Below are 12672 nucleotides of genomic sequence, written 5' to 3' on the forward strand. Positions count from 1 at the left end.
GATATACCTATTTTTCTGTGAAAACCTCATGATTTTCAATTGATGATAAGAAAAAATCATGCGAGCTAAACAAGCTATACCACTGGACAGATTTGGTCCAGGGACTGCCAGTTTATGACCTCCTCTCTTGTCTAATGAGCCCCTCATTTTACAGATGAGGGAACTGAGGCCTGGTAATAAGGATACTTATTCAAAATCAGTGAAAATGTAGCCGGGCGCAGTGGTGTGTGCCTGTAGCCCCAGCTAATCTGGAGGCTGAGGTGGTAAGATCGCTAGTGGCCAGCCAGGGCAACAAAGTGTAAGACTCTGTCTCTAAAAATATAAAAATAAAAAAGTAGTCAGGTGTGGTGGCACACACCTATAGTCCCAGTTACTTGGAAGGCTGAGGTCGGAGGATTGCTTGAGCCCAGGAGTTCAAGGTTACAGTAAGTTTTGATCACACCACTGCACACTCCAGCCTCAGCAATAAAGTGAGACCCTGACTCTGTAAATAAATCAATGAAAACATGAACTATTTAATGTCAGGAACTATATTGTCTTCTCTGTGCTACCCCAACTGGACTAGCACAGTGTCAGACATCTGATGGCAGTTTAATATTTAGGCCGGGTGTGGTGAGTCACGCCTGTAATCCAGCATTTTGGGAGGCTGAGGCGGCAGATCACGAGGTCAAGAGTTTGAGACCAGCCTGGCCAACATGGTGAAACCCTGTCTCTACTAAGAATACAAAAATTAGCCGGGCGTGGTGATGGGCGCCTGTAATCCCAGCTGCTCGGGAGGCTGAGGCAGGAGAATCGCTTGAACCCAGGAGGTGGAGGTTGCAGTGAGCCAAGATCGTGCCACTGCACTCCAGCCTGGGTGACAGAGCAAGACTCCATCTCGGAAAATAAATAAATAATAAATAAATATTGGATCGGTGAATATTGGATGTTAGAAACAAAACCAGGACTTGGTTTGGCCAGGACAAATCAGAACCTTAAATGTTTCATCTTAAATGACTCCTTTCTTTCCTTTTCTCCTAAGTGACCTACCCTAACTTCTATATAGGTAGAATTTGGTCTCCTATTTTGCCACCTAGGGGCTTGCTTAAAGTGAGATTTGATTAATAGGAATGTTCTACTGAAAACGCGAGAGCAAAAGCCTTCAACCCTCTATGGGGCCCAACCTTCCTGAAAGATAAGTTTGTCTATACTGGGAACCCTACGACCAACAGGTTGCCATTCTTCTTGGCCTACCAGATTAAATTCTGTTCAATTTGTTTTCTATTTATTGAGTTCCTGCAATGTGCTGAGGCTTGTGTATGGTGATTTCTAGATACAGGGGATTCCAATGATTCCAATGAGCCTCGGGACTTAAGCATTGAATGGGGATTCTCCAAGCACATTTCAGAAACATTTAATGATTAATTTAGAGAATAAGGACACTTGGCATAGTCTCTCTCTCTCTCTGTCTGTCACTCTCTCGCGTGCACTGTCTCTCATCCTGTTGAGGCACACTTTACTTTGTGGTAATTTCCTTTCTTCAGTTTTTGCCTTGAGATTTAAAGTTGCCTGAAACACAGAATCAATTATCACCAAGATAAGTTCTTCCTTTTGACAACCCAGTTATTGCCTCTATATTGGAAGACTTGTCAGCATAGACAACAGTTCAGGCTCTAAGGAAGTATACCAGATGCCTTTTGTCAAATAAGTAGCTTTCCTGCACTTATCTTTCTTCCTGGGCTCTACAAGGTGCTTACCTCTGTGCTAAGGGCCCAGGTGTTTCCAAAATGTCAGTAACTCTCCAACCAGCAAACTGCTGGTCTCTTGAAATGCTTGAAATGATGTATTAATATTACTTCCACGTGTCCGTGCATATAATAGTGATAATAATGGTATTCACCATTTATTAGTGTCTTCAGTGTGCCAAATAATGTGCAAGCCATGTTGTCTAATGTTACCTCATTGATACTCCTTACCCATCATAATCTTTCAAGATGGGCATATAATTCTCTTGACGAACGGTTAAATTCAGCCCGGAGAGAGATGATGACTTGCCCGAGGTCATATAGTTGCCTTATGTATAAAGTGAATACAGAGTTGCCTGCTCTCAAAGCCCGTGCCCTCTCTACTTTCTTATGAAACTTGGGTCTCCAACAGCAATTTTGCCAACTTCACCAGTGCTGTGATGATGGAAGGAAAGATGACATATCTTTTTTCAGAAGGAAACTCAAGGGGCCATTTTAAATGGAGCGGATGGTTTTGCATGAGGCTATGTTTAATTTCGGGATGTCGTCCTTTTCTGGTGAAGATAATCAGACGTAATGTCATCTGCAACCTCTCTGTGTGCATGATTTCATAAAACTGGTATAGCAGTTTATTATTATAAAATTAGTATAGCATAGAACAAACCTGGGATGCAAGCCAGATGAAATAGACAATGAATAGTTATATAAGGTTTTGGAAGCACATGTAGTAGAACACAAGCTCACTGTATTTTCTTCTCAATTGTCTGCTGTTTGTTAATGTTTCCTTTTCAACATGATTGCATCTCAGTTTAATAGCACTTGCCATCTCAGGCTTTATGGTGCCAGGCCTGACATAGTTACATCCCCTCTGTGCTAAAAATATTGCATGTATATATTTAACCGCAGCTGACATGTTTAGCTAATGGGTTACTCAGGAGCTATGCGCTTATATAATTAAGTGATATATGTAATTTTGTGTTAACACATTTGCCATGTGTGTTTCCCTGGTGATTGCAACGCTTTATTCTGTGTAAAGTGTGACATTTTAATTCCCGCTGAACAATTTCCTACCTTGATTTGCCTTGTTTTTGTGGCAGGGGATTATTTTGCAATCAAGATAAAAGCATTATTTATGAAATTTCTAGGCTATCCCATTACTGGGAACTTTGAACTGCAGATCAATCTCCTATTTTATTGATCTTTGTTAAAAATCTTTATTGGAATTTAAATGTAATCTCTACATTACAGATTTGCTCAGACTTTCATCGGTAGGCACATTTTTTTAGGCAGCTCTGCAGAGATGGGGTTCCTTAAAAAAGGAATCCTCACCAGGCAGTCTGCCATCTTCCCCAGGGAAATTTTTTCTCCTAGGTGTTGCTGACTTTTTCTTGTTGTAGGGGCTCTCTAGGAGAGCCAGTAGCCCGGTGGGCTTGAGAGTCTTGGCAAAACAGGTGAGATCTGTGTGTCCACAGACAAGGTGGGTTTCTGTTAGGTATTTAGGTGTTTGACAATAGCTGGGTCTCAGAGTTACACAGTGGGCATTACAATGTGGGTGTATATGTCTTCCCCTTATTAATGGTGATGGTGACCTAGGGAAGGTGCTGGAGATAGGAAGGTGAACCATCAAGGATAGCCTAGCCACCTGGCCCTCTTTAGCGGCATTTATGTTCTCCAGTGGGATGAGCAGTCAGTGCAGTTTAACAAACATTTACCAGACTCTACTAAGTAGTACCAGACACTGATTTCAAAACATGACACAGAGGGAGGCATTTGTTTAGTAAACGTTTATTGAACACCTACTATAATGATGCTACAGTGATCAAGACCAACATAATCTCTTTAGACTGTGGTAAGGTACACTAACCAGATGATTTCAGTACAGGGTGCCAGGTGCCAGGATCAAAGCATGCTTGTTTTTTGCATTTTTTCAAATTTGTTATTAATTATTTTAAGACGGAGTCTCACTCATTGCCCAGGCTGGAGTGCAGTGGCACAGTCTTAGCTCACTGCAACCTCCACCTCATGGGTTTAAGTGATTCTCCTGTCCCAGCCTCCCGAGTAGCTGCGATCACAGGCGTCTGCCACCATGCCCAGCTAATTTTTGTATTTTTTAGTAGGGACGGGGTTTCACCATGTTGGCCAGGCTGGTCTCAGTGTGAGCCACCACGACCAACCCAAAGCATACTTTGTACAGGTATTGACAAGGGTTTTCTCACCCAGCTGGAGATGAGGGAGAGTAAGGAAGCTTTTTGTTTTGTTTTGTTTTGTTTTGGCTGGGGGTGGAGACAGAGTCTCGATCTTGTCACCCAGGCTGGAGTGCAGTGGCACGATCTCGGCTCACTTCATGTTCTGCCTCCCACGGTCAAGCAATTCTCCTGCCTCAGCCTCCCAAGTAGGTGGGATTACAGGCGCCCGCCACCATGCCCATGTAATTTTTGTGTTTTTAGTAGAGACGCGGTTTCACTGTGTTGGCCAGGCTGGTCTTGAACTCCTGACCTGAGGTGATCCACCCACCTCAGCCTCCCAAAGTGCTGGGATTACGGGCGCGAGCCACTGCACCTGGCCAAGGAAGCTTTTAAGCGAGGAGTTAGGGCAGGAGGGAGAAAAGCTAAAAAAGAAAAGGTATCGATGTCAGAGGAAGCCCAGGAACAAAGGCACACAGGTATAAAGCTGTGTAATGTGCTTGGGACCTCTGAGGCATGAGTTACTGCTAGAAGGTGAGGACGATGCTCCCTAGCACAGTGGCCTGTGGTCCATTTCTTCTTGATCCCAGAGGTCCTGAGTTCCCAAAGCCCTTCCTCACCCCCAGGAGGGCTCCTTTGTTTTTTCAGCCCAGCCTAGCAAGCAGGTGGCGGTTGTTGACGCCCAATGCCAGAGCACTTTCCTGATGGCTTTGCAAGTGTTTTGCTGCTAGTACCTCACATTTGGGTCTGAGCAAACAGCTGGGAGTATGGTGCACAGAAGTCCTGCCAGAAGGACCTGCGCTTCATGCACTCCAAGTGAGCTTTCTTGCTTGTATGTTTTGGCATATGAACACAGTGGGAATGTCCTTGTCAGCTCCCATTTGACTTTATTAATTACAGTTCCTTGGAAAGTGTGTTTCAGTAACATGGTCTTGGGATGACAGGGCTCACCCTGCAGAGACCCAAATGGAGGTATTCAGGGCCCATTGAAAAACCATCTGCTGCCAAGGCTCTGCTGCTGATCTCATGCAACAGAAACCAGAGTCTGTCGCAGCTCTGCTACTCACTGGGTGACTCTGGGCGAGTGGCAGGCTCTCTGGTCCTGTCTTTTCTGATGTGGAGAATGACTAGCTGGTGCCCGAGGTTTTCCTAAAGCTATGGAATTCCATCATTTTATAAATGACTCCAATGACGAATCCTACTGGCATAACATCTATGGTTTCACCAACTCTTAGCAGTGATCTTTGGTTCCAGATTCATGTGAAAAGCCAAGAACCGCTTTCCACAATTTGTCTTGTCATGACTCTCCGGCTCCATATTTTAAGAAGCAGTCTACACTAGCCCTTGAATCTAGACTCTAATTTTTTAAGATACAAAGGAAATCATTAAGCCCCAGAATATTAGTAGAATATACGGCAATATGGATCAAGTAATCCAAAGTATTAGCAATGTTGCAAGAGGCTGTCACCTAGCAGCTCTGTATTATGTTTCCAGGCCCTCCCCCACTCATTTCCCTGAGCCCCGAGGCTGTGGTTAATAACGTCAAAAGAATGTTTTAAAATTGCCCTTCTGTTGATTCCAGAGAGTTAGGGCCCTCACATGGTTAGAGTCCTGGGCTAAGAGTCAAATTCTAAATTTAATTCCAGCCTCTATGAACATCTTAGTCCCATATTTCCTCACCATTTAGAGATGTTTCAGTTTTCCCATCTGCGAAATCGGCATAAGATGCCTTGCTCCACAGAAATACTTGTCAACAGCTTTGCCGTACACAAAGATTGGCATTGTATTGGGGCAAAATATCATTTTTCATTCCATAATAGGAATTAAACAAAAGCCCTTTGAGAACGCACCTTGTGTAAACGCCCTGTGCTTAAAAGCCTGTGAATTTCAGAGGTCAGCAAAAACCGCCCCCCTTCTTTATTATTTTTCTTAAAGCTAAACAAGGGTAACTAGGGAATTCATTTTGGAATATAAAGACATGAAAGAAAGGGTATTTCAGCTTGCACAATAGTACAAAGAAGAACAAGAGTTGTCATGTTTTGCTAAAGAACTCCCAGCTGTTTAATTTTATAGTAAAATTACTTTAAGAACTTTGCTAATTCAAAGACAAAATCAAACAACTGTTGTTGCAAAACTGAACTTCCACATTTGAGTGGAAAAGCCAATTTGAGATTAATCTGCCCCTAAAATCATATTATAAAAATACAGAGCATTTCTGTAATGCTGGTTGGAGGAGTGGCTTTTATCTGAAGAGAAGACACATAAAAGAGAAAAATGGTACATTTACTGGTAGTAAGATTTAAAAAAGTAGTTTATGTTCTCATGTACTTTGCCCTGACTTCTCCCCCAGCTTTCTCTTAAGCTCTTCAGTCTGTTTTAATACCAGGTTTGTTTGCTTTCTGGGGATGGGCCTGTTAGGCAGGAAATTGTTGAAAGGCATACAGCAGAAATTTTAAATGGTGTTTTTAAAAGATAAATACCCAATTGGGTAACTGACTATTAAATTTGGAGTTCAGAATTTTTTAAAATTTTATTTTTAGACAATATAGAAAGATAAATTCTGTACCTATACTTGGTTCTATAAGTCCCACATGTTGCCTATTGTCAGAAACAAACTGTTCCTTATTTAAAAAAAAAAAAAGAAAAGAAAAAAAGCCAGTTTTTCTTCCATATTAGGGAATTATTCAGACTTCTTTCCTTGGTTCCTATAATTCCAAACCAGTTGGAACATCAGTCTATTTTTGGTTTAAAGGAGCTTTTAAAATGTGAGCATGATTTTTTTAAGTTTCTAAATCTCATAAAAATCAATTTGCCACATATATAGCAGCTATGGTTGTAAATATAGTGAAGTCATTGTATTGCAGAAAGACAAAGTTCTAATTTCCATATTACAAACCCCACCTACCCCACCTTGTCCAATCTCCACATAAGAGGGCTGAAAATGTAAATTCTAAAACATATAAAACAACATAAGGTTGTCATTTGTGGCTGTTTCTATCCAAGATGAATGTTGTCACCTGTATTGGAGTAAACTCTTTTGTTAGTTTCTGCGGGTTTTTTTGGTCGTCCCACCGCATCCCATCGACTCACCACGAGAGGGCAATGGAGCGTTTGCTTTCAGCTAACAAAGCTAGAAATGGTTTTAATATCAGCTAAGTGTTTGAACTTGTTAAGGATTTATTTCTCCACCTTCCGATTGCCATACATGCAGCCTCCGAGTTTCCACTAACAGCGAATAATGATCCAAATAAAGTTATTCTGAGGGAAAATATAGACAGACTGGTGCAGACAAGAGCTTTTGCCCAAATAAGGATCCCTTTTGTGCAGACCCCATGTGTTAGATAACCATCAACTGACAGTTGCTCATGAGTTAATAATGTTGGATGCTGAAATATGCATACCATGTGCTATAAAAGAGTTTGGAGGACAAAGACAAATACTTCTATAGTTAGATATCAGAAACATACCAGAGGTGTGCAGATTGCTTCGTGGTACATAGGTTGAAACCGCCCAATCATTTCATCAAAATTAGTACAATATAAGTATGATACAGTAGAATGTATGATATTGATTGCATGTTTCATTGATGTTGCAGAAATTTTGGTCTAAGCCTTTCTGCATGTTACTGCCTTAAATGCTACAGCAACTACTGCCTTCTAAGAAAAGAAAATATTTCCTAAGCTTCTTTCTATAGCCACCATTGTTGCTCTTTTATTTTTACCATAGGAACCCATTTTACCATGTGTGTGCAGCCTTTTGATTGGCATGTAGTGTTTGGAGGGCTGTTAATGTCTAGTTAGGTTTCTGTGTTGCTGCTGCCACAGGAATCAAAAAGTGAGGAGGTGGAGGGAATCAGCTTTGATTTTGGCTACTATAACAAGTTGTTTGGGAGGATGGGACACAGGGCAAACTGAGCACCGGGCAGCCGCCTTCTCAGTGATGCCTGATGGTTTTTTGGTGCTAAGAATGATTGCGGAAAGAATGTTTCTCCTCCCTGCCCCCAGAGTTCAAACCTTTTTGTTCTGTTCAACTTTTCTGGGCTTATTGGAATGCCAGTCTTCAATGAATAATCTCATATTTTGTCATAAATGGGACCTGAAGCAGGTTGGCAAAGCCAATGAGGCTATGCCCCTGCATTTAGGCCTGACTGTAACTGACCTCTCTATTTATTCTCAGATGAAATGTCCAAAAAGTCAGACCATTAACTTACTCAATAGTTGGAGATTAAGAAGTGTCTACTTCCAAGCAACTAAAATCACTCCAGCTCCATTTTCTCCTATTCAGTTTGTACTGGATGATGAAAATGGCTTACATTATACCCGACCCATATTGACAGCAGGAGAGAACAAGTCATGAAATAAATAATTAGCTAGTTCCTTCCCCTCTCTCTCTCCATTCTCACTCTCTCTCTCTTTCTGTCTCTTCTCCAGTCTGTTGTCAAAGCTTAACATTTACTTTGACATCTTAGTTAAGAAAGTTAATGAAATAACATCTTCATCAGGGCCATTTAGTAGCCTTGAGTCAATGATTACCAGATTTGAATTTTACAGAAGGGAGACCTCAGCTTAAGAAAAATTTTTAGATACTATTATAACATTATATATATATATATGTGTGTAATGTGTATATATAACTATATATAACGTTTTTACATGACTACCCTCCATAACAGTGAATAAAATCTTAAATGTATTGAAACATTGAATCGTGACTTTTGCTGATTATTCTAGCTTCAGATGTTAATCTTGTTCTGTCTGCTCCTTAACACATATTTCCAAGAACATATCTATAATCATAACATTGAATTATTGACTAAACCAGCATCGCCCAAGAGAAAGATAATGTGAGCCACATGTAATTTAAAATATTCTAGTAACCACATTTTAAAAGGTAAAAAGAAACATGTGGAGTTAATTTTAATAATATATTTTATTTAACCCAGTATATTCAAAATATTATCATTTCAATATGCAATCAATATAAAATGTTATTAATGAGATATTTTACTTTTATTTTGTATTAAGTCTTGGAGATCCAGTGTGTATTTTACACTGCGGCACATCTCAATTTGGACTTGACATATAGTATTTCAGATACTCAAGGGACACGTGGCTAGCGGTGACTGTATCAGACACAGCAATTCTAAATAGTCATAGAAATGTTTTATCTTACAGTGAAAAATGTAAAGAAGCTGTAACCTCTTCTGGGTTCATTGTTAGCTTTACATTAGGGTTTCTGATGGTATCTGTGTGCTGTTTCTCTATAGTGTAACAAACCCTCCCTCCAATTGAGTGATCACTCTAGCTTGCCCCACGGCTTATAATCTGCCCTTAGTTAACATGTCACCAGGTATTATCAACCTTGTTGCTGCCTCTCCACGCCCACTCCAGGCCCCAAAGCTCTTCTCATTCTGTACCCTCACCCCACCCTGCTCCAAGACACACGCTCTTCTATACAATCTGTGAGTTTGCATGAGGTTCTTGGTACCACAGAAGAGTTTTTAAAGTCATTTTCCAGTATCTTGGCTCCGGTACCTGCACAAACAAATGAAGCTCAGAGACCACTGAGGTACTTAGTTGGGGATGGTGCTGGTGCCCTCATAGGGAGGAAGGGTGAGAGGGATTTGCCTGAACAAAGAAAAATGTCTCCGAATCTCAGACAACCAAAAATAGTCATCTTTTTACTTTTAAGTAAAAGACTATCCTACTATTCACATTATTCTTTCTGAAAGGTATAAAAGCACAAAGTGAGTGAAAAGCCCCCTTTCTGTACAAATTCCTTTTTGGATCTTTTTAAAAGAATTGGGAGCCTATCACTTGATAACTGTTTCTTATGTGTATGTCTTTTAAATATTAAAATGTATCCCATGACATACTCATCCAAGTATGTCATAAGTTAAATATCTCCATGTTAATCCACATACACACCAAAACAAAAACAAAAACAATCCATCTCTTTTACTTATTTCCAAGTGGGGAATGTTTTCTGTAGAGAGGTAGCAAATCAGTTATCCTCAATGATGAAATGGAATATCTCATTTCCAAACCTGGAGAAATGGCTGAACAAGAATGTCCTGTTTATAAATGAGTTTAAAAACTGTTCTGATATTTACTGCTCTTACAAGGCTATTCAGTACAAAAATGTTGCTTTCACTTCTGTGCTGTCATGTTCAATAGTAACACCAAAGAACATATCAATCATAGACTAGAACGAGCAGATTTATTGATTGTAACAAAAAGAAAAAAGAGAGAGACAAAAAATTAACTCTCTTTGTTTAAGAGGTTCTATCTGTACAACCTTCAGAAATTGTGGAAATCAAAATGTCCTTAAAACACATTTCCAGAGCAGATCCTTAAACAGCCTTAAGAAAAAAAGACAATTATCTTGTTAATATTATATTTGTATTATATAGAACCATACCAAGAAAGACTAAATCTGTATTTATAGAAGAGTTTTCAAAAAATGAAAACAGGAGCTATTTCAAAGTCATAAGAAAAAAACACATAGTATAGCATTGAAACAACATGCTTATTCTCATTGTAATAGCTTCTGTGCATGATCTCCATTGAGAGAGGAGCCTGGGGCCTGGAAATGGCTCGTGGACACCTGGCATCTGGAGAGATGAATAGGAGAAAGGAGTTGCCAGGTAAATGTGAAAGTGGGAGTTTGAGCCTTGATGGCATTTTGAGAGTCCACTTTTGGTTTTACTGAATTTGTGACTTGACAGGACCTTGCAGCTAGCTGGTGGGTGGCATGGGCTGAGAAAACAGACCCTTTGCGTGCAGTATCAGCTCCTAGATAGCACCACCGCCACACCCTTAGGTGTGAGCTAAGTCCTAAGATGTCCGCTCTGCCCTGATGTCTCTTTATAGAATATGTGGAATTCTGGCTGTGCGTCGTGGCTCACGCCTGTGGTCCCAGCACTTTGGGAGGACGAGGCGGTTGGATCACGAGGTCAGGAGATCGAAACCATCCTGGCTAACACGGTGAAACCCCGTCTCTACTAAAAATACAAAAAAAAAATTAGCTGGGCTTGGTGGCGGGCGCCTGTAGTCCCAGCTACTCGGGAGGCCGAGGCAGGAGGATGGTGTGAACCTGGGAGGTGGAGCATGCAGTGAGCCAAGATCGCGTCACTGCATTCCAACCTGGGTGAAAGAGCGAGAGTCTGTCCCAAAAAAAAAAAAAAAAAAAGAATATATGGAATTCCAAGACAAAGGATTCTTTCCATAGGCTCCTGATCCTCAGGAAAACCTAGGCTGTGGTCTTGTCCATGCTATGGTATATAGACCCCATTATCCCAAAGATGCATAGGCTCTTGCACAGCAGCCATGAGCTACCACGTCCACTTCTTACAAGGGGACCCTCCACCAAGAATGGTTTCCCCTGGAGGATATTGCAGACAGCCAAATAGACCAGAGAGAAGGTGAGAGTTGGAAAGGTCTGGCATAGATTTCAATCTCTTTTCCTATTTCCAGAATTCTCCCCTTAGAGAGTCAATCCTCTGAAAAGCCAGACTGTCTCCTCACTCCTAGATTCAGCTCCCAGATTTTCCCCTTGTTTCTCAAGCAGTAGTGAAAAGCATCTATAATCCCTTTCTTCTTTGCCAGTGTGTTTGTGGACACCCCTATTATACAGACTTCTAGAACATTTTTATATTACGTTGGAATTCACTACATGATTTCAGAACAATATTTAAATAACGTGATCATTTACATTTCTCCCTTGCCTCAAGACACAGTGGGGGAACAAAGATAGAAATCTGCCTATCACTGCTGGTAAAGCTGACTTCAAAAAAGGCTTGCTTGTGTTTTAATGGCAAGAATGCATGGAGTCACATGCTTTCAAACCAATTAGCAATACAGATGAGCTAGGAAGTCCTGTTCCATTTATGGGTTGGGGGAAGGGTAGAAGTAAAATAATCTGTTTTTAAGTGTTTCTGAGAAATGAAGACCTCCAGGGCAGAGAGAGACGGCGGATCAGGAAATAGCTATGCAAATCACATGCCTAAGAAATTACTAAAACCTTGATCAGGAGCATTAATAATTACTCCAGCATTCACAAGTATGAAACAGAGTGAGTAAGACTGGGCATGTATTGGAATGGATTACAAAAGTGTTTACTTACATGGTTTGTTGAGCAGTCAATGAAGTCCATGGCTGTTTTGGACTTAAACTGCCCAAGCAATCCAGGTATAGCAAAGGCAGTAATACATTACTCTCATTGTTGACTCTTGGGGCTCTCAATGATTTTGACAAAGAGGCAAAGTGACGACCTCATATGAAGCCAGCTTCTTTTTTTTTTTTTTTAAATGTTCTTTCTAACACCACAACTGCTCACCCTTCCAGGAGGAAGAACAAGCACTTGGATTCTGTGAGAGCAGAGTTCATTGGAAATGCTAAATTGTAGTTTGTGGTTCAAGCAGTGTAGGGGTATGACTTGGGCAAAAGCACACTTGGAAACTCAAAGTCCAGGTCTTTATATCGCATGATATCCAGTGTGATGAGTGTAAAATTTCTCTAGGGCACATCCATCCATTAGTGATTGGGGTTGTCTGCTCTTGATGACATTTGAACATGAAAAGTGTTTAAATCTGGCTCTAGAATTTGGGTTCCAGACTCTGGGTTCATTTGCTCTTTTTTTTTTTTTTTTTTTTTAAGAGACAAGGTCTCACTCTGTCACCCAGGCTGGAGAGCAGTGGCACAGTCTAGGCTCACTGCAGCCTCAAACTGCTGAACTCAAATAATCATCTCACCTCAGCCTCCCAA

General features: G+C 40.8%; 1 protein-coding gene across 1 annotated transcript in view, besides 1 other annotated feature; it reads left to right on the forward strand.

Moving 5' to 3' along the window:
- ARID5B (AT-rich interaction domain 5B) overlaps positions 1–12672 on the forward strand; it is a 195246-nt gene that overhangs the window by 130137 nt on the left and 52437 nt on the right. The window lies entirely within an intron of this gene.
- Positions 9344–9403: an enhancer, noted in NCBI's record as "active region_3403". NCBI's record gives its function as "activates an Ori minimal core promoter by ATAC-STARR-seq in GM12878 lymphoblastoid cells {active_cell/tissue: GM12878}" and the evidence as "EXISTENCE:reporter gene assay evidence [ECO:0000049][PMID:35858748]".

The sequence above is a fragment of the Homo sapiens genome, chromosome 10 (genome assembly GCF_000001405.40).
Source record: "Homo sapiens chromosome 10, GRCh38.p14 Primary Assembly".
Classification (NCBI taxonomy): Eukaryota; Metazoa; Chordata; class Mammalia; order Primates; family Hominidae; genus Homo; species Homo sapiens.